Source organism: Homo sapiens, chromosome 6 (genome assembly GCF_000001405.40).
Source record: "Homo sapiens chromosome 6, GRCh38.p14 Primary Assembly".
NCBI lineage: Eukaryota > Metazoa > Chordata > Mammalia > Primates > Hominidae > Homo > Homo sapiens.
This window is the reverse complement of record NC_000006.12, coordinates 96,792,667-96,812,145: the sequence shown is the minus strand read 5'-3', so window position 1 is coordinate 96,812,145 and position 19,479 is coordinate 96,792,667. Positions and strand designations below refer to the sequence as shown.

The 19,479-nt window shown below is 37.2% G+C and overlaps 1 protein-coding gene across 9 annotated transcripts in view, besides 1 other annotated feature; it reads left to right on the top strand.

Moving 5' to 3' along the window:
* Positions 1-18,021, top strand: part of GPR63 (G protein-coupled receptor 63) — a 43,353-nt gene extending 25,332 nt beyond the window's left edge. For 8 of the 9 annotated variants that reach the window (NM_030784.4, NM_001143957.3, XM_011536155.2 and 5 more), the window contains one exon: positions 12,265-18,021. In NM_030784.4, the coding sequence (NP_110411.1) occupies positions 12,415-13,674 (1,260 nt within the window). In that variant the 5' untranslated portion in view covers positions 12,265-12,414 and the 3' untranslated portion in view covers positions 13,675-18,021. Of the gene's footprint in view, positions 1-306; positions 11,188-12,264 lie in introns of those variants that run through there. The other variant, XM_006715570.5, reaches the window with a different exon arrangement.
* Positions 19,056-19,256: a silencer, noted in NCBI's record as "peak5968 fragment used in MPRA reporter construct". NCBI's record gives its function as "represses an SCP1 promoter by STARR-seq MPRAs in K562 erythroleukemia cells {active_cell/tissue: K562}" and the evidence as "EXISTENCE:reporter gene assay evidence [ECO:0000049][PMID:32103011]".

Below are 19,479 nucleotides of genomic sequence, written 5' to 3'. Positions count from 1 at the left end.
GATGCCATGATGATGTGCCCTATATAAAAAATAACTTTAAATAAGCTCTTCCCTACCCTGTCTCACTTTGTGTGATTATTGTATATTCCTTTTTGGTTTGTTTTCAAAGCTTCCTTTGACTCTACTTACAGTTAAACCAGAGAATAAGAGAATTAACGACAAAAAAAGTAGACATTGTTATAATGATCTAAATTTATAGAGTATTCATTTTAATTGCAAAGTAGGTTGCCCAATGAAGGTGATTGCCTTTTATTTTATTTATTTATTTATTTATTTATTTATTTATTTATTTATTTATTTATTTATTTTTAATGAAATAAAGTTCTGAAGTGAAATGGTTGATTCTTTATTTCTGGTTCCACCTTTTTCAAAACAGAACTCAGGAGTATACTTCCATCCTTGTGTGTCCTTCGACTCCCATTCCCCCAGTTTTAATTAGAATCTCTGGATATGTTGCAAGGGCCTAATATAGGAAGGAATATAAATTTATATGTGATACACTTTTTTCTTTCCTCTCTTAGTTTGCAATTTTATTTCTTTCTTAGATGAGAGGAAAGATAGGAATGAAGGTAGGACCAAGTGAAATTCTTGTTGGCTAAGAGTGTGGCAAATAGCAGAAGAACATGATGTGACATCTTTTCTCTTCAAGCACAGGCTGTGGCCCAGAATGAGAGAGAGATGCTCCATAATGTCACAAGAGCTCTCCTTTCTCTTAGGCATTGTTCTTTCCTTTAGACTTTCATTTTGTTCAAGACAAAAGCAGACACCCTTGAGTAACGCCAGTATTTCACATTCCTACCTGTTTTATTCTGCTGTCAGTAATGAGTTGGCTGGAACGCGTGGGTTATTCCCAGCAGCCAGTTTCTGTTTATCCGTTAGGGGATAGAATAGTTTTAGAACAGCAATTTTTTCATAGTGGTGCCACTCGTTTCTTCCCAGCATCCTGGGATCAGTGGAATCAAGGCCAACCTTTAGAGCATATGCAATGAGTACAGCATTTTAGAAGATTGGACTGAGACCGGGGCTGGTGGGATGTCTCTGCTGGGAGCCCTGGGAAGCTTGAACCCAGGTCCTGCAGAATCTGCAGACTGTGGTTTGCTTCTTACCCTCTTTTCCATAGAGAGTGGCATACATGGTTATTGTTATCTTAAGCAACTTTAGGATACACAGCTTTGTGTTAGGTCAGATATGTTACAAATAAGATAGGTTGCAGCTTGCATCCTCAAGGAATTTTATACAGGAAACAGGAAGAAAAGTGTGATAGAATAGTACAAGATCAATATTGATTTAATGTGGAAAAAAATTATACAAAACTGTAAGTGTATGGGGAAAATAATATTTTACTCCCTTAATTTCATACCAGAAAAGAAATCCCTTTTGTCCGTTTGGTCTGTTTGTCTATACCTATGTACATATGCACAAACACATACATGTATATGCATATACACACACATCTACATACATACATAACAATGGGACTATGTTGTACGTCATTCTGCATGTTAATTTTTTCTTTTTTTTTTAGTATATGATGAACATTCTCTGCTGTCACTATTCTAGATTGACCTATTGTTTGTGATAGCTGCATGGTATTCCTAGTATGTATGTATCACACTTTATTTAACTGTTATCTTTTTTTTTTTTTTTTCCTGGGACGGAGTCTCGCACTGTCGCCTGCGCTGGAGTGCAGTGGCATGATCTCAGCTAACTGCAACCTCTGCCTCCTGGATTCAAGTGATTCTTGTGCCTCAGCTACTGAGTAGCTGGGATTAGAGGCACACGCCACCACACCCAGCTAATTTTTGTATTTTTAATAGAGACAGAGTTTCACCATGTTGGCCAGACTGGTCTCGAGCTCTTAACCTCAAGCTATCCACCTGCCTCAGCCTTCCAAACTGCTGGGATTACAGGTGTGAGCCACCGCGCCCCAGTTTATTTAACTGTTATCTTATTGATGAGTATTAAAAAGATGTTGAGTTTTTCACTGTGAAGTAATGCTACAATGAACATTCTTATCTGCATGTTTATGCTAGTGTTTTTATCACGTAGAATTCTAGACAATATTTAAATTGTTTAATATTAAGAAATACTGCCTACTCTTACTCCCAAAATGCTGTACCAGTTCATACTCCCACCAATAGGCTATAATAGAGATATTGATTGCATAACATAGTGGAAGTCTGTAGAAGATTATGGTTATAATATGTTATAATTTGATAGCACTTTGTAGTTTATAATTCACTTTCATCTATCTTATTTAATTCACCAACCTATGGTGTGGTTTTATATCTGCATCTTTGAGATAAGGACATTTGAGAGTCAGGAAAGTTCACTGACTTGCCTGAACATCTTAGTTAATGAATGCAAGGGCCAAGACTATTACCCAGATATTTTTTCTCTACTTTCGACATCCTTATAGTAAGATAATTTAGGAAAAGCTTGAGGTTGGCCATATTTAGATGACATTTTCTTAGCATTTGTGAAAGTTGATAGGTTTTATGTAGTACTGGGTTACTATGGATTTGAAGGAAGAGAAAAATGCAGAAAATGATTCAGATCAAATTGCATATAAAGAGAACATACTTAGTGAACCATGAAAGAATTTTTTGGTTATATATACACATGGTATCTATATCTATCTGTAGATATAGATACATGCATATATCTATATCTAATCTGTATATCTTTATATCTATCTAGGCAGCCCAGTGAATTTTAACATCAAGGCAGAATTTTGTATAATGAGTTTCTTTCTAAGTTGTAATGTGGTGCTCCTATCTCTTTTGCAAGATTTGTAGTCTGAGTCATGGTAGAGATAACAGGCAGTTAGACACATTAGTTAACATGCACTCTGAATACAGGGTCATTTGAAGGCCTAACTGGGGAGGCAAAGATAGCAGGATTCTCCTAGAGGGGTTAGAGATGGAAGTTGTAGAAGAGAGGCTATGATTCTAATGGGCTGGTAAAGCCAGTGTACTCCAGCTTGTATGTGGATCCAAGGATGGTCTTTTATTGGAGATTAGAAAGGGAGGTTGGTTTTGAAAATTTTCAGTGTAGAGATACAGTCAAAATAATATAAAGGAAGAGAAAAAGGAAAGGAGCAGAAAGGAAAGAGAATAAAACCATCTTGAAGAATTAGAGATGGCAGGACGAGATAAAGAAAGAAGCTGGTACAGGAAGGGGAACATCACGCTCTGGGGACTGTTGTGGGGTGGGGGGACGGGGGAGGGATAGCTTTAGGAGATATACCTAATGCTAAATGATGAGTTAATGGGTGCAGCACACCAGCATGGCACATGTATACATAGGTAACTAACCTGCACATTGTGCACATGTACCCTAAAACTTAAAGTATCATAATAATAAAATAAAATAAAAAAAAGAAGCTGGCCCTGTTTAGTTGACTGGAGTTCAGTGTAGGTGTCCCACTTTTTTGCTCCTTTTCTCTGCAGTCCCAGTTTTGATGAGGACTGCTTTGCAGAGTTTTATGGAAGCCCTCAGCACTTCAGCCTGTGAAACTCTTCTGAAAAACAGCCAACATTTATATTACTGCAGCATCAGAAAATCCTTTTGGGCACTGAAAGAATTGGCCTGAAGAAATCTTTCCTTTTACTTACTAAATATTCAGTTCTATTGGGATTGTAGAATTTTCACTTTGTTTCATGTGAAATTGTGATTAAAAGGTGGTCACTCCAGTTTTAGCAACCCCATGGGAAAACTAATCTCGTTGCTTTGGAGCTTTATTGTATTTTTACCAGATATTTGTACCATCTGCATTGGGAAACACTGAGCAAATTCAGCACTGTTAAGATTCTTTTTACTGAGTCTCATTTTTTTAAAGAAAAAAAGTATTTGTATTTTTCATGCATATTTAGATTCCATATGTCATATATTTTTGGCAGACCTAGACTTCTGTAATCACGGTATAGAGCCCTACATTTACATGAATATTCTGGTAAAAAAATATAGATATAATCCTGATTCATTTCCACATCATTTCTAAATTTATTGTAATTGCTTTTTAAATTTAGCAATATGTTTTTGAAAACATACATGTGATATGTAAAAGAAAACAAAGTATTATGTTTTTCTAGTACTAGTGGCATTTCTGTATGTTGTATTCTCTGTTTTACAGCATAGCGTAGTGGCTAAGAACACACTTCCTGGGTTTAACTCCCAGCTTTGCCCATTATTAGTCATGTGACCTTGGACATGTTACTTGACCATTCTGTGCAATCGTTCCATCATCCTTAAAATGGATATTATAGCAGTAGTAATGTCATAGTTGCCGTGGAATTTTTAAAGCTAACATATTCAAAGAGCTTAAGACAGTTCTTTGATATTATACTTCCTAACAAAACTCAGGAGATAAAAGGTTATTCTTAAGAATGCAGATTGCCCCTTTGAATACTGAATATCTTGATATGTCTATTCCTTTATGCTTCTGGATACTTAAAAAACAAAATTTTAAGAGTTTTGTTTTTGAGTTCCTACTGTTTTTATTTGAAATGTGTAACCACAGTGGAGGTGATTATTAGCTTTCTGATTACTTTTCTCTGATATGTGTAGGATATTGTGTGAAAGGAAGGAGGCACAGGATACTAAACATATTGATATTATGCTTGATGGCCTAATTTGGTAAAATTATCCAGCATATGGATATATTCTAAGAAAAACAAAGTCACCAATCATGGAAGTAGTCCATGTAATCCACTCGTCACCAAGTAGCTGGCTAGTGTCTCCAGGAGATTATGTCATTTTCAATAGGTTTAGTTTTGGTCCCTGTGTTGCCACAGTGAGTATCCAGTGGCTATAGCCAGATTGATCTGGGTGAGTGGAAGTCCATGTTGCTGAGCACATGTATAATCTCTGTCCCTTCTGCCATGGCTATGTTGTTCATGAATCCTTTAGGGAAGGACAGGAGTGACTAGAGAGAGAGGTTGATTGATCTCAATAGAATAGGTCATCTTGTCTGCCTGATTATCAAGCTCTTCTTTTGAAAGTTGCTATTTGGTGAGCATTTACATGACTAGCCAGTCAAACCATTAGCTACTGTCTATGAATGAATGTAGTTTTTCATCTCTGGCATGAATTTGTCAAAATGAACAACCAAGTATACTATTCAAAATGTTGCCCACTGGGAGGTTTTCTCTGCTGTGCCCTTACGGGCTTCCAAGTGGGGCTGTAATGCTACAACTCTTCACCCCTGTGTGGCACCAATTTATTGTGCAGAACCATCTGCACAATAAATCAGGCCTTAATTTTTTTCTTCTTTAGTTAACTGGTCATAAGAAACTCCTCTCAGTGAGGTCACAGGTGAAGTTTAAAGAGAGGGTCATTACAGCAAACATAGGAGCTGTGGGAATCTCAGCCACTTGCTCATGTAACTGAACTGTGCCCTGAGCACCTGCCAGGTCTGATTTCATACATACCCTTCTGTATAAGGCTAAAATGCTCCATGCAAACCCAACTGTATGGCTTCAGAAAGTCAGACAACACCAAGTTTATGTGGAGCACTCATGTTCCATAGCTTTGTTCCAAAATTCTAAAGATCTGGTCTGACCTTTAAGGGGCCTGCCAAATGCTATACAGAATCCCTATGTGCCACAGACACCTAAAACACCAGTAAATCTTTCGGCTCAGTGGCAGAGCAGCTTTCATAGCAGCCCGGACCTGTTGTGGAGCCTTCTCTTATTATTACTGATTACTCAAATATGGCAGCTTTTCAAGCTACTTGATAAATAGGTCAGAATAACATACCCAAATGAGGTGCATGTTGCCTCCAGAGTCCAGAAAAGCCAGCTAGATGCTGTGTCTCTGTATTAGTGGTAGGCAAGAGAGCTATCACTTTGGAAGGGATATCTTGAAATACTACTAAGACCCCTAGAAAATTTAAAAGATGGCAGGCCTCTGAATTTTTTTAGGACTCTTTCTTCACTCTGTCGCACATGTGTCTTACCATGCATAGGGTATTTGCCACTTACTGTATAGTCAGCATGTAATAGACAGCATAACATTCTATGGACTAGAAGTACAACCAAGGTCCCTGTGAACGAGATTATGATAGCGTGCTGGAGACTTGACAGAGCCCTGAGGTAGGATAGTAGGGTAGGCAAATGCTTCAAGTAGTCTTTGCTAACACATATAGAGAAAACCAGAATTTGACAGATCAATAGCCATGTACCAGATGCCAGGAAATATGTTGATTCGCTCCATCAGTAAAACCACATCTGGTACAGCATCTGCACTCTTCAAAATCCATCTGTTTTGTACAAAGCCAAAGAGACAACTTGAATAGAGATATGGCAGAAATGATCACCTTCTTCTTGCAAGTCCTTGATGGTGACTCTAATCTTTGCAATCTCTGCAGGAATGAAATGTTGCTTTTGGTTTACTTTCATAGGTAGAAATAGATAGTTCTAAGGGTTTGCAGTTAACCTTTCCTACCATTATACCCTTGCTCCACAGATTAGAGAACCAGTGAGAGAATCTGCTGAGTTTGTCTGTTCTAACTCAGCATTTCAAAACTGGTAGAATAACCATGGCATGAGTTCTGGGATGAGTGGGAGTTGTAATGAGCCCAAACTTCATTAATCATGTGATTTCCATAAACTCCTGCTCTGAATAGAATCAGTACTGTAGAATATGATACTGACATGGTTGGGCTGTTTGTCCCCTCCAGATCTCATGTTGAAATGGAATCCCCAGTGTTGGAGGTTTGGGCCTGGTTAGAGGTATTTGAGTCATGGGGTGGATCCCTCATGAATGCCTTGATGCTGTCCTCCCCGTAGTGAGTGAGTTTTTGCACTGAGTTCACACAAGATCTGGTTTTTTAAAAGGGTATGGCACCAACCCCTCTCGCTCTCTTGTTCCTGCTCTCACCCTTCACCTTCCACCATGATTGTAAGCCTCCTGAAACCTCTCCAGGAGCAGATGCTGGCACCATGCTTCTCATACAGCCTGCAGAATTGTGAGACAAAATAAACCTCTGTTCCTTATAAATTGCACAGCCTCATCCTTTGGGAAAAAAGAATGTATGTGTGTGTGTGTATGTATATTTAAATGCCAACAAATTTATAAGAAAAAGATAACCCAGCTGAAAGATGAGCAAAGGACTTGAACAAAAACTTCAACAAAAAATATCCAAACAGCCAAAACAAAACAAACAAAAAAATGGAGAATAAATATGTAAGTTATTTATTAATTTTAGGATTTCTAAAAGTTAAACAAGAACGGAAAATATTCTACTGTTGGCTTATCAGTAAATATACTATTTACATAACTACATTAATACACTACTGTAATTCAGAAGTTTCAAATAAAGATTTTGATAGTACAAAGGGAAGAGAAATTAGTTGGAAATGCTGTGACAGCTAAATCTACATCTATACTTACAGGAAATCAGGAGTTAATATATTTAAGTGATAAACCAAAAAGTAATTTCTTCATGTTATTTAGATATATAAAGAATAAATATATGAAAAAACCTTTAAAATAATTAAGAATGAGTACCTCTAAAAACAGGAATGGGGTGGTGAAGATTGGGACAGGGTTTGATGATCACCTTAAAACTTATCTAATTATTTTTAAAATTATGTGCATATTTTATGAATATTAAAATGAGTAAACAAAAAATTGATCCCACAAAACAGTGCAAATGAATTTAGTTATCTAAATATTTATCAGAATGTGTGCAAAGCATAGTGGTCGTAGGGAACAATGGGATTAATAAAATCAATGGCTGCCTTCTAGGAGAATATAGCCTTTTCAGAGAATAAAACAAGTACTTAAAGCACTCCAAAGATCACTTGAGCTTGGGAGGTCAAGGCTACAGTGAGCTGTGATTGTGCCACCACACTCCAGCCTGGGTGATAGAGTGAGATCCTGTCTCAAAAAAATAAAATAAAGCACTCCAGTGGCAGGTAAGACTAAGGAAAGAGGACCAAGAGAATACTACAACCGCTACTGACCATTCTAGCCACTGAAGCCCAATAAATATGACATTCTGGCACACTCCAAATATAAAACACTCCACTTATATCATTAACCTGATAGCCCAGCATTGTTTCTGTAGATGGAATAAGAGAGAATCATAAATCCAGTCACTTCTACCATACGCGAGTTTTACAAGTACACATACATGTGGTGTGTTTGTATAAACATGTGTATTATGTATGCATATATCATGTGCACACATTCACACATAATTTAAAATTTTTCTCACTTGGAAGATTTGTTAAACATTTCCAACAAATGGCAAATAAAGACTAGTCGAGATTGGATTTAACATTAAGACTCCTGTGTAAATGTTACCAACCTACGCTGTCTGTTGCTCTCATGCTGTTACTGTCCTATTTCATTTGGAAATACAAATTGTAAGTGTGAAACTTTTTAACCTATTCTTACATAAAATTCAAAGAAACTTCAGGTGACAATGATATTTGATGAGAAATGCTTAGAGGAAAGAATCTTTTAATGTAGTTACTGTGAGCATTCAAGAGCACTGCTTTGGTTATTATACTTCATAAGAAAAGGAAGAAGGCCAGGGAATATTTACATTCCAATGAGCCAGGAGTGAAGTGAATGACGACCACTGTACAGATACTGAGGCAAAGGCATTATTAAGTCTGTTCATGCTATGTTCCTTAGTATTTTAAATTGAAGTTATTTTCCTTAATGTTTAACTACAAAAATGCTTTTGTTTAATTTCTTTGTTAAACTCTTTATTTCTTAGAGAAATTGACAATTTATATCTAATAGGCACTGAAAAGTTGATTAGAATCTCTGTGTTCATGGGCTGGTTTGACAGTGGGTAGGCTTCCATATACAGGTGACTGGTCACCAAGCTGGCATTGTTCTTGGGCTACCATCAGATGTTAGTATCTAGAGGTTTTTCCTCTGTGGCAGTTTAGTTACAGCCTTTGAGTCTTCTGCATGGGCAATATGTGCCTGGCTTCTGGCAGTCTGAGAGCAGGATGGCAAAAGGAGCTAGGTTCTCAAATTGAATATGCATTCACTCAGTCCCCCTGTTTTCAGCCTTGCACTAATATTTTCGAGTGTGGTGCTTGTCAGGTTCAGTTGTGCCACAGAGTTGGGCTACTGAAATGGAGATACGTGCTTTCATGTGATTGTTCAGAGAGGAGAACTAGGTGTGGAGTGGGGTTCCAGTGTCTGATTTTCAGTCAGTTTTCCAGTTTTCAGCTCTGCCTATATACTCTGTGGTAATTGGCATCCAGAGATTCTCTGGGCATCTACAGGATTGTTTCAGTTTCTTCAAAGCATATTTCCCTGGAAGTATTGAGAATAAATTGTTCTCTGTTCTGGTTTCTTAAGTCAGTTACTACAACACCATTTGCTTTTTTTGCCTTAAAACATTAAAAAACATCCTGGCAAACCAGGTGAAACCCCGTCTTTACTAAAAATACAAAAAAAAAAAAAATTAGCTGGGCATGGTGGCAGGTGCTTGTAGTCCCAGATACTCGTGAGGCTGAGGCAGAAGAATGACGTGAACCCAGGAGGTGGAGCTTGTAGTGAGCCAAGACTGTGCCACTGCACTCCAGCCTGGGTGACAGAGCGAGACTCTGTCTCAAAAAAAAAAAAAAAAATTAGAAAAAATTTTTTATCTACTGATGTGTTTTTCATTTATACCTCTTGTCCTTTTGGTTTATATACTTTGTTTAAAAAATCCCTTTACTGTCATTTCAGTGTAATTTTCGGGATGTGGACTGTGGTCAGTCTTCATTTTTTACGAGAAATTTAGAAACCATTTATTTGCTCACCATTTTCCTTTTAGTACCTGGCATGTAGTAGGTTCTTAAATAGATATTTGATGAAATATTGAATGAATTGTTAGAAGTTTTTATAGTTGTGGGAAGCTTTTATGGTAGAAAGATACAATGACTATGCAAATATAACAAGTTAAAAGTCATCTTTTAAATTATGGTTTTACTTTGGCTTCATCCCATTTTTTGTTTTTGTTCCTTAACATGGTCAAGGAAATGAAATATTTTAAACAGTGTGGTAGTACAGGATGGATATATGTTAGTTTACTTTGTCAAACACAATTTTAGCTGTCACATTAGGCTTAAGATACACATTTGTCTATTTATAATTTTTCTAGAGAAATTACCTCTACCTCTATGGAGGTAGACTTGTATTGAGGTTAATTTACAATTAAGCACAGCCTTTAGTCTTAATTATATGTATATTTAGGGTACTTCTATAGAGGCTGATGGTGATTATGGTGTAAAATCTTCCAACTACCACTGCTCTCTTCCCACTGGCCCCTTTGTGGTTAATAAAGTTCAAGAGCAGCTGGCTTAGTGTGGCATCTTATCCAGGTATGTTTTGTATTACAAAGTGAATATGTGAGGATAGATAAAATCTAGTAAGGGCAAAGAAATTAAACCGTAGAAGTGAACGCAAGTAGTAAAGTTGATATTTTGAATGAATAGATCAGGATTCTTCTTTTTATAAAGGCAGCCCTGGACAAAAAAAGATGGGATTGTAGAGCTATAGGTATGTAGAGAGTCCCTGATTTGGCTACATTGCTGGATCTTGGGTCTTAGAAATGTGATATCCCTACCCATCATGCATTAGTAAATGAATGAATGAAATTTTGACAGTGACCCTTAAAATCAATGACTAGGCTGGGTGCAGTGGCTCACGCCTGTAATCCCAACACTTTGGGAAGCTGAGGCGGGTGGATCACCTGAGGTCAGGAGTTCGAGACCAGCCTGACCAACATGGAGAAACCCCGTCTCTACTAAAAATACAAAATTAGCCGGGCTTGGTGGTGCATACCTGTAATCCCAGCTACTCGGGAGGCTGAGGTAGGAGAACCGCTTGAACCCAGGAGGCGGAGGTTGCGGTGAGCTGAGATCGCACCATCTGGGCAACAAGAGTGAGACTCTGTCTGGAAAAAAAAAAAAAAAATCAATGACTGATTCTAAGTCGAAATAATGAGTAAACTGCAGTTTGTTTTAAACTGCTGTACATGTATGTTTTCCCAGTCTCTTAAGAGCTTATTAAAGGAATCTAGCCAGAAATTCAGAGACTTCTTTCTAACTATAAAGAGGTTACCTCTCCAGTAAAGACCTACGGAAGGAAAAACCCATACCACAAAATGTGTAAGACAGCAGATAAAGAAAGTCCCTTACAGAAAACTCTGGAGTTACAGAAATCTGGGTAAGAAATTGGGGGTTAGGATAAGAGAAAGGTGATAAGAAACTTTTTGGAGCAAGCTAACTAAATATGTTTGTAAGTTTTCTGGAATAGATTCTTCATACCTGAATATTTTTCTAGTCATCTCTCCTTTAACATCTCTATCTTTGTTATTTGGTTGACATATTCTGATCAAGTTGCTAACACAAAATAAGATTGGTTTTTTAGGGAGAAGAGAATAGAGGAGATAGATGTATACATATCAGAAAAGAAAGGATGAAAGTCAGTGGACTTGGGAGAGAAGAGAGACTATGAGAAGCAAAGAGAGCTTTAGTAAAATAAAACTTTTGAAAATATTACCAAGACATCTTAGAATTTTTCTTCTCCTCTTGAGTAAGTTCTCCAGTATGGTTGGTGGTGGAACTTCTGGAAAGAAATTAAAAATGAATGAATTTTTAATTCAAAAACTAAAAATGAAAAAAATTGATGAATTAATTGGATAAATAAATAAATAGCAAGCCAAGAAAATGTTTCAGATCTTCATTGACAATTACTTAGTGCCTACTTATAAGGATGTTAGAACTAAAGTGTGTAATTGTTATGTGTGAAATAGGAAACCTGCTTTAGGTTTCTTTGTCATCTGGTTTTGTGCTAATGTAAAATTAGAGTAAGAACTTGTACCAAAGAACTATTAATTAAAAAAAAATAGTGCTCAAGAGAACCAGGTAATAAAAATCTGTATTAATAGTGACTATAGCAAAGCATGAAAATTAAAATTAACATTTAATTAAAATTAAAGGCACTGGAAATATTTTAAAAATTAACAGTAAGATTATAATTTTTGTCTTTGGGGCAGTAACACATTTTGAGATTCCTCGCACTTTTGCTTTATATATGAATGTCATGAAATTTCCACCATGGTTGACTAAAGATAAAATAACAGAACGATATTTTAGTGTTGACTACACTGGAGACTAAAATATTTTTAAACGGTCAAAAAGAGCAAAACTGATCCTTCATGATGAAAGGCAGCCCTGGAGTTAAATGTTATTTGCAAATCTCATTTCTCATTTACTTTTTGTGTTTTGGTTTTATTTTCAGGCAAAAGGACTCTTGTGGAAGATGGAACTCATTGTCCATTTTCCAGAATGTATTTCCAAGCCCATCAATGGGACCTGATACTGCTGTTCTGTGTTGAAATGCTTGAAGAACTCCTGCATCTCTGCTTGCATCTTCCATCCTACTGAAACCATGGTCTTCTCGGCAGTGTTGACTGCGTTCCATACCGGGACATCCAACACAACATTTGTCGTGTATGAAAACACCTACATGAATATTACACTCCCTCCACCATTCCAGCATCCTGACCTCAGTCCATTGCTTAGATATAGTTTTGAAACCATGGCTCCCACTGGTTTGAGTTCCTTGACCGTGAATAGTACAGCTGTGCCCACAACACCAGCAGCATTTAAGAGCCTAAACTTGCCTCTTCAGATCACCCTTTCTGCTATAATGATATTCATTCTGTTTGTGTCTTTTCTTGGGAACTTGGTTGTTTGCCTCATGGTTTACCAAAAAGCTGCCATGAGGTCTGCAATTAACATCCTCCTTGCCAGCCTAGCTTTTGCAGACATGTTGCTTGCAGTGCTGAACATGCCCTTTGCCCTGGTAACTATTCTTACTACCCGATGGATTTTTGGGAAATTCTTCTGTAGGGTATCTGCTATGTTTTTCTGGTTATTTGTGATAGAAGGAGTAGCCATCCTGCTCATCATTAGCATAGATAGGTTCCTTATTATAGTCCAGAGGCAGGATAAGCTAAACCCATATAGAGCTAAGGTTCTGATTGCAGTTTCTTGGGCAACTTCCTTTTGTGTAGCTTTTCCTTTAGCCGTAGGAAACCCCGACCTGCAGATACCTTCCCGAGCTCCCCAGTGTGTGTTTGGGTACACAACCAATCCAGGCTACCAGGCTTATGTGATTTTGATTTCTCTCATTTCTTTCTTCATACCCTTCCTGGTAATACTGTACTCATTTATGGGCATACTCAACACCCTTCGGCACAATGCCTTGAGGATCCATAGCTACCCTGAAGGTATATGCCTCAGCCAGGCCAGCAAACTGGGTCTCATGAGTCTGCAGAGACCTTTCCAGATGAGCATTGACATGGGCTTTAAAACACGTGCCTTCACCACTATTTTGATTCTCTTTGCTGTCTTCATTGTCTGCTGGGCCCCATTCACCACTTACAGCCTTGTGGCAACATTCAGTAAGCACTTTTACTATCAGCACAACTTTTTTGAGATTAGCACCTGGCTACTGTGGCTCTGCTACCTCAAGTCTGCATTGAATCCGCTGATCTACTACTGGAGGATTAAGAAATTCCATGATGCTTGCCTGGACATGATGCCTAAGTCCTTCAAGTTTTTGCCGCAGCTCCCTGGTCACACAAAGCGACGGATACGTCCTAGTGCTGTCTATGTGTGTGGGGAACATCGGACGGTGGTGTGAATATTGGAACTGGCTGACATTTTGGGTGATGCTTGTTCTTTATTGACATTGAATTCTCTTTCTCATAGCCTCTCCACTTTATTTTTTTTTATAGGGTTTGTGTATGTATGTGTGTGAGCAGTGTAAAGAAAGAATGGTAATTATAGTTCTGTTACCAAGAATAAATAATAGGAAAGTGATTACAAATATTACCTCCAGGGTTCAATAGAAATCCTCAATTTAGGGTGAGGAGACTTTTTTTTGGTTTTGGGGTTTTTCCTTGATTGATTTTGTTTTCATAGTGGGAATCAGGATTGTGCTTTATTGAGCCTGCAGTTACATTGAATTGTAGGTGTTTCGTGTGCTGCTAAGGTATGCTTATTTGAGTTTATCAAGACTTTTTTTTTCTGGAAGACACTGCTGCTTTTACCATCACATTGGAGCCAAACATCTCAATCAATATATATTTAGTTTTATTTTAAAAACTAACCCAGGAAGGTTAGCGACATTTTAAGGGTCATTACTATTTACTTTGGTGCACTTTAAGAGATAATGTACAAATTAATTCAGTCTTATTTTTCAGAATTGTTTTTATACATGATATGTGCTTTAGGAAATGTGCATTATCATTTATGGGAAGATAGTTTTAAGAAATGTTTTATCTGCATGTACAGTTGTAAAAGAGAACATAAAATGTAGATACTTTTCTAAGCACAATAGCAACTCTTCAAGCAATAGCGCAAAATCTAGGAGACAGGATCCTTGCAAATTTAAAAGGTGAATGTAGTGAGGGGGATGGCAAGTGGCTGGTACAGGCTGTGGTGATTCCTTTTACTCAAGGGTTTTTGTGGAGTATAGGGAGAAGGGGTTGATATTTATGGACACCTATGTGTCAGGCACTGTGCATCATTTTATCCTTACAGGATGTTGTGAGGTAGGTATTATTGTTTTCATTTTTACAGGTGAAGAAAGCAGGTCTCAGAGGGACTAAAATCCTGCCCAAGGTTAGTGGTAGAGCTGGGATCCAAAAATCTGTCAGAATCCTGAGACTGCGCTGTTCCACTGTGCCACGCAGACAGTTCATTCAGTTTAGATGTCACATAGTCAAGAGGGAACTCTATGCATCCTTTAATTTTTTAGACTATGATATTCTTTTTAAAAATTAGCCTTTATTTTCTAACTACCAAAAGAAATATGAAAGCATTACAGAAACACTGGAAAATAGAAAAGAAAAAATAAAATCACTTACAACCACTTTTTGTTTTTTGGAGTCTCGCTTTGCCACCCAGGCTGGAGTGCAGTGGTGTGATCATGGCTCATTGTAGCCTCAACCTCCCAGGCTCAGGTAATCCTCCTGTCTCAGCCTCCTGAATAGCTGGAACCACACACACACACGCACACACAGGTGTGTGCCACCACACCCAGCTATTTTTTTGTATTTTCTTTTGTAAAGACAAGGTTTCACCATGTTGCCCAGGCTGGTCTCAGAGTCCTGAGCTCAAACGATCTGCCTGCCTTGGCCTCCCAAAATGTTGGGATTACAGGCATGAGCCACCACATCTGACCTACAACCACTTTTTAATGTGAGACTTAAAAATCTTAGATAAATAAGGCTGTGAAGCAAAACCAGTGATTTTTTTTTTTGTTTTTGATTTGCAAAACAAGTGACTGACAATTATTGAGAAATTAAAGATAGCTATGTGTAGGTCTTGCCCCTGCGGGTTTGGAGGTTTCCAGTTGTCCATCTGTGTTAGTTGTAAGTGTTCTGGGCAGAATAGTATTGTTGCCCCAATGCTTGCCCTAGCAGAGCTGGAGTTTGTGAACGTGCTCAGATGTGTGTCTCCTACAAAGAAGGGAAAATGAACCCTCGTCTGAGCCTAGAACAAGTTTTAATAGGGCATGTCTGACATTTCAAATTGTTTTTCTCTTGCTGACAGTCTGCCCCCAGGTGCATCTAGGGCCTTGGTCAGCTTCTCTGTTACCAGTGGCTCACTTTATAAAACAGCCCACAGGGATAAGGGCTGAAAATATAGCCACTTGGCTACATCATTGACTAATTAAGTAAGTTAACTGTGGATTTATAGCATCTTTTCAGGATGTTAGTGTTTTGTGAGCCAGTGGAAAAAATAAGCTTCTATTTCTTCATTTGTAAAACCAGAGAGTTGGATTAGATGAATCTCTAACGTCCTGTCCAGCTCAAATGTGCTTTCCTCTATACTAGGGTATAGATTTTTGAAGAGCCTAGCTGACTTCAGCATCACCTCACCCTTTGGTCTCCAGTATTACTTCTTTACATTTTACTTCATTAGCTATTTCTTAATATTAAATGTCTGAAGAGTGTGGCACTGTATCAGGAGTTGGGGCATTGAAAGGTTGAAGACATCATGAAATATCTGGGAAACTCTGCTCTTAAGGAAATTGCACCGATGTTGGAACTCATTGTCCAGTTAAAGAGCTCTTTGGGGACTCAAGCATATTATTCAACATGTTGTTTTGGGATTATCTTCAAATGATAGTCACCTACCTCTTTCATTTCTAATTTTTATTCACAGGTAAAATTGTTTTTGTCCATAGGGATTTTATAGGACATAAGCACTGTAGTAGATACTAGTAGCATTTTGAAGTGTATTATGCTCTCCATTTTCCATATAAACTAGATTTCAAGCAGATATTGATAAGGACATTTTTTATTAGACTTTTCTCTGAGGAAAGTCAGCATGATCTGTATTCATCTTACATATTGATAGGTCATGAAGACTCCTTTTTGGCTGGAGGTGAAACTGAGCTTTGTTTTCTTTGTTCCTGTTTTATGGGCAGTCTTTAGGTACTTTCATGCTGCTTAATAGGCAGTGCCTCATTTGGTGAGAGCTCTGGAGTGCCTGCCGAGACGCTCCCTGTTTGTGAACAAAGATTATGAAGGGGTCTTTGTGAGAATTCAGCAGCAACACTGAACAGCAGTTCTTTTTACACTGGATTATCTTGATCTGATGAGAGTTTACAAATCATTTTGAACATTTTTATTATGTATACATTGTGAAAGCTTTAAAAATAAGTACTATGGAGCACCTTTGAGAAACGTAGGTGCAAAATCATATGTTGCCTATTCCCCCATATTTTCTTGAGGCAGGGAAAGATACCACTACTAATTCTCACTGCTTACAGGCATAATCAGAAATGGTTTTTTGTTTGCCTGTTTTTCCTTCTGGCTAGTAAGAAGCGTAAAAGAGATAATGAAATATTTGTGGTCAAAAGAAAGATGCAAGGGAAATTCCAAATAGTATGGAGTAACATTATTTAAACTTTAATACATGTTTAAGCATCCCCAAGGGAGCTTGTTAACAGTACAGATTCCTGGGCCTCCAGAGGGTCTGTGGTTGAGCCCAGGAATGTGCATTTTTATTTTATTGAGCACTCTGCCTGACTCTGGCTCAGGTAGTCCCTGGGAAACTCTTCAGGAAACATTCCTGTAGAAAATATATCTATTTAAATATCATCTGTTTTATCCCACAATGTTTGTTTCGTGTTGCAAGCCATTATCTTCTAGGCATGGGTAATCCACATTGAGAGGAAAATCCACACAACATTGTGCCTGATTTGCTGCCACCTGTGTTTGTGCTGGATCTTGCCAGTGTTAGCTTTATTTTCTTTCAACTGGCAAAATTCTGATAAAGCATATAGCTTCACAGTAGAGCAAAATGGGTGACTTAATTGAAAGTCATGACTTTCAGCAGTCTAATTATGCTCATATTTTATTTTCTTATAGAGAGCTGTCTTTATTGTGTGTAATTCCCGGAAGAATGTAAAGATTTATCTAATTCCTATTGCTCTGCCAGTTGTGTTCAATGCAAGCATTGAAGTAAAATAAAAATAACCTTTTTAATATGTGTATTTCTGTTGCCCACAAAGATATTTAATTTTTTTCTTGATCTTTGTTTTTGTTTATGTGAAAATATTTACATATGTATCATTTCTGTATATATCACAGAAAAGTTTTCACTTGCTTGACATTTTATTCTACAATGATTTTTAGTTTAAGTTTAAAGAATGGCTACATTCAGATTTATTTTCACAACTATAGTCCTGCTAAACTGCCTTCATTGAAAACTCAGTTTTTATGATAAAAAATATCAAAGCACAAGTTTGTTATTGGAGGTAAATTATACATTTCTTAGATATCTATTGGTACTAGACCTTTGTAATTAAAATTAATTTATTTTACAATAGTAACTGACCTGTATGGAAAAAAAAACAACCTTGAATTATGGGTTCTAATATTTAAATATCGAAAAATATGGTTATTTGTGCATATTCTTATTACAACCAAGAAAAGAACTCCTGATAAGAAAATAAATAAATATTTAACATTTCTAAAGTGGAGTTTTTTTTAAAAAAAGGACTACTGCATTTCATTTAGAAAAGTTTATCATGAATAATAATTTCTGTTAAAAGCTGAGTTTAGCTTCAAATTCTGCTTCCTTTGGGTTCTTATTTTCAAATTAGACCTCAAGGCCTGTGTGCATGTAACTATATTCTAGTTTTAGAAGTTCTCAGAGTAGTTCAAGATGAAATGACAAAAAAACTAGTAGTATAGTTAACAACTGTTGAGTTATAAAGCTGTTAAAGAGCTTTAAGAAATTCTGTCTAGGAAAGTGATGAAAATTTTACTGCTGAATTATTTAAAATTAGATTGTCAGTTTGGCAAAGCAATGATAATGTCTGCTTCTATTTTGATGAAATGATTTCATACTGCATTTCCATTTCTAAAAGCAAAGGCCTTTCTGTACTTATAAATCCATAGGAAACATCGTTTATTTGTATATAAGAGTTTCAGTTTTGTGCCAGTTAAACATGAGAGTTTTAAGTCACAAAAGAAGGTTGATTTACAATAGCAGGTTGTTATTGAATTTACATTCGATGTTTCCTTCTGACACAAAAAGGTAAGAAAGATACAGCAAAATAAATATTAAAGCAACATGTTGAATTAAAAGAATATTCACATCTACTATAAGAATAATGAACCCCAAGTACTTTTAAAGAATTTGAAAGCATTTGTAGTTATAACAGTATTCTAAGCGTGAAAGTACAATAATAGTACCAATAATAACATGCCATATTTTGGCCACTAATTGTGGTCAAATACACCTTCAATCTATTTAATGCACAGTATTTCCCCTTTTCTAGCTGAGGTAACTGTTCCCAAGAAGTTAAGTATATTTACTTAGGAATAGCTAGGATTCACATCTAGGCCACCTTCCTCTATTATTCTCTGATAACTGAACCAAGCCCCTAGTGAGAGGAGCTTACTAAATGTCATAGTGAATGAGTATTACTCTTAATGCATCAGATAATCAGCAGTAAAATCTGCATTCCAAGATGTGAATATTAATGCTAAACTGATATTGGTTTAGTCTTGGTTTTAAGTTGTGAACTGTATTTGGCTAAGTCATAAATAAGACTGTTAGGCTGACTGGAGCCCTGAGAGCCTGGGACACACCCATCTGTAATGTCATGGAACATTCACAGAACCTGCTGACTGCAGCAGAAATATTGGAGCACCCAGCCACTTTCCTCAGATCACGTGGATCCCGGAACTCCTTTTGAATAGACTCTCACCCTGGTGCATAATTGGGGTTCCATTATGTACTAATTTGTCTGAAATACTGGGGGTTATCTGTAGTAGCCAAGAATGAGAGAAAGGAGCTAGAGGTGATGAAACTCTGGCAAGGCTGGGTGGGGCCTAAATGTTGGAGGAGGCAGTGTGAGACTTTCCTGATCACTGCTCTCCCCTGTACTCTACCCTTGCTGGAGCCACCTGCGTAGGTGTTC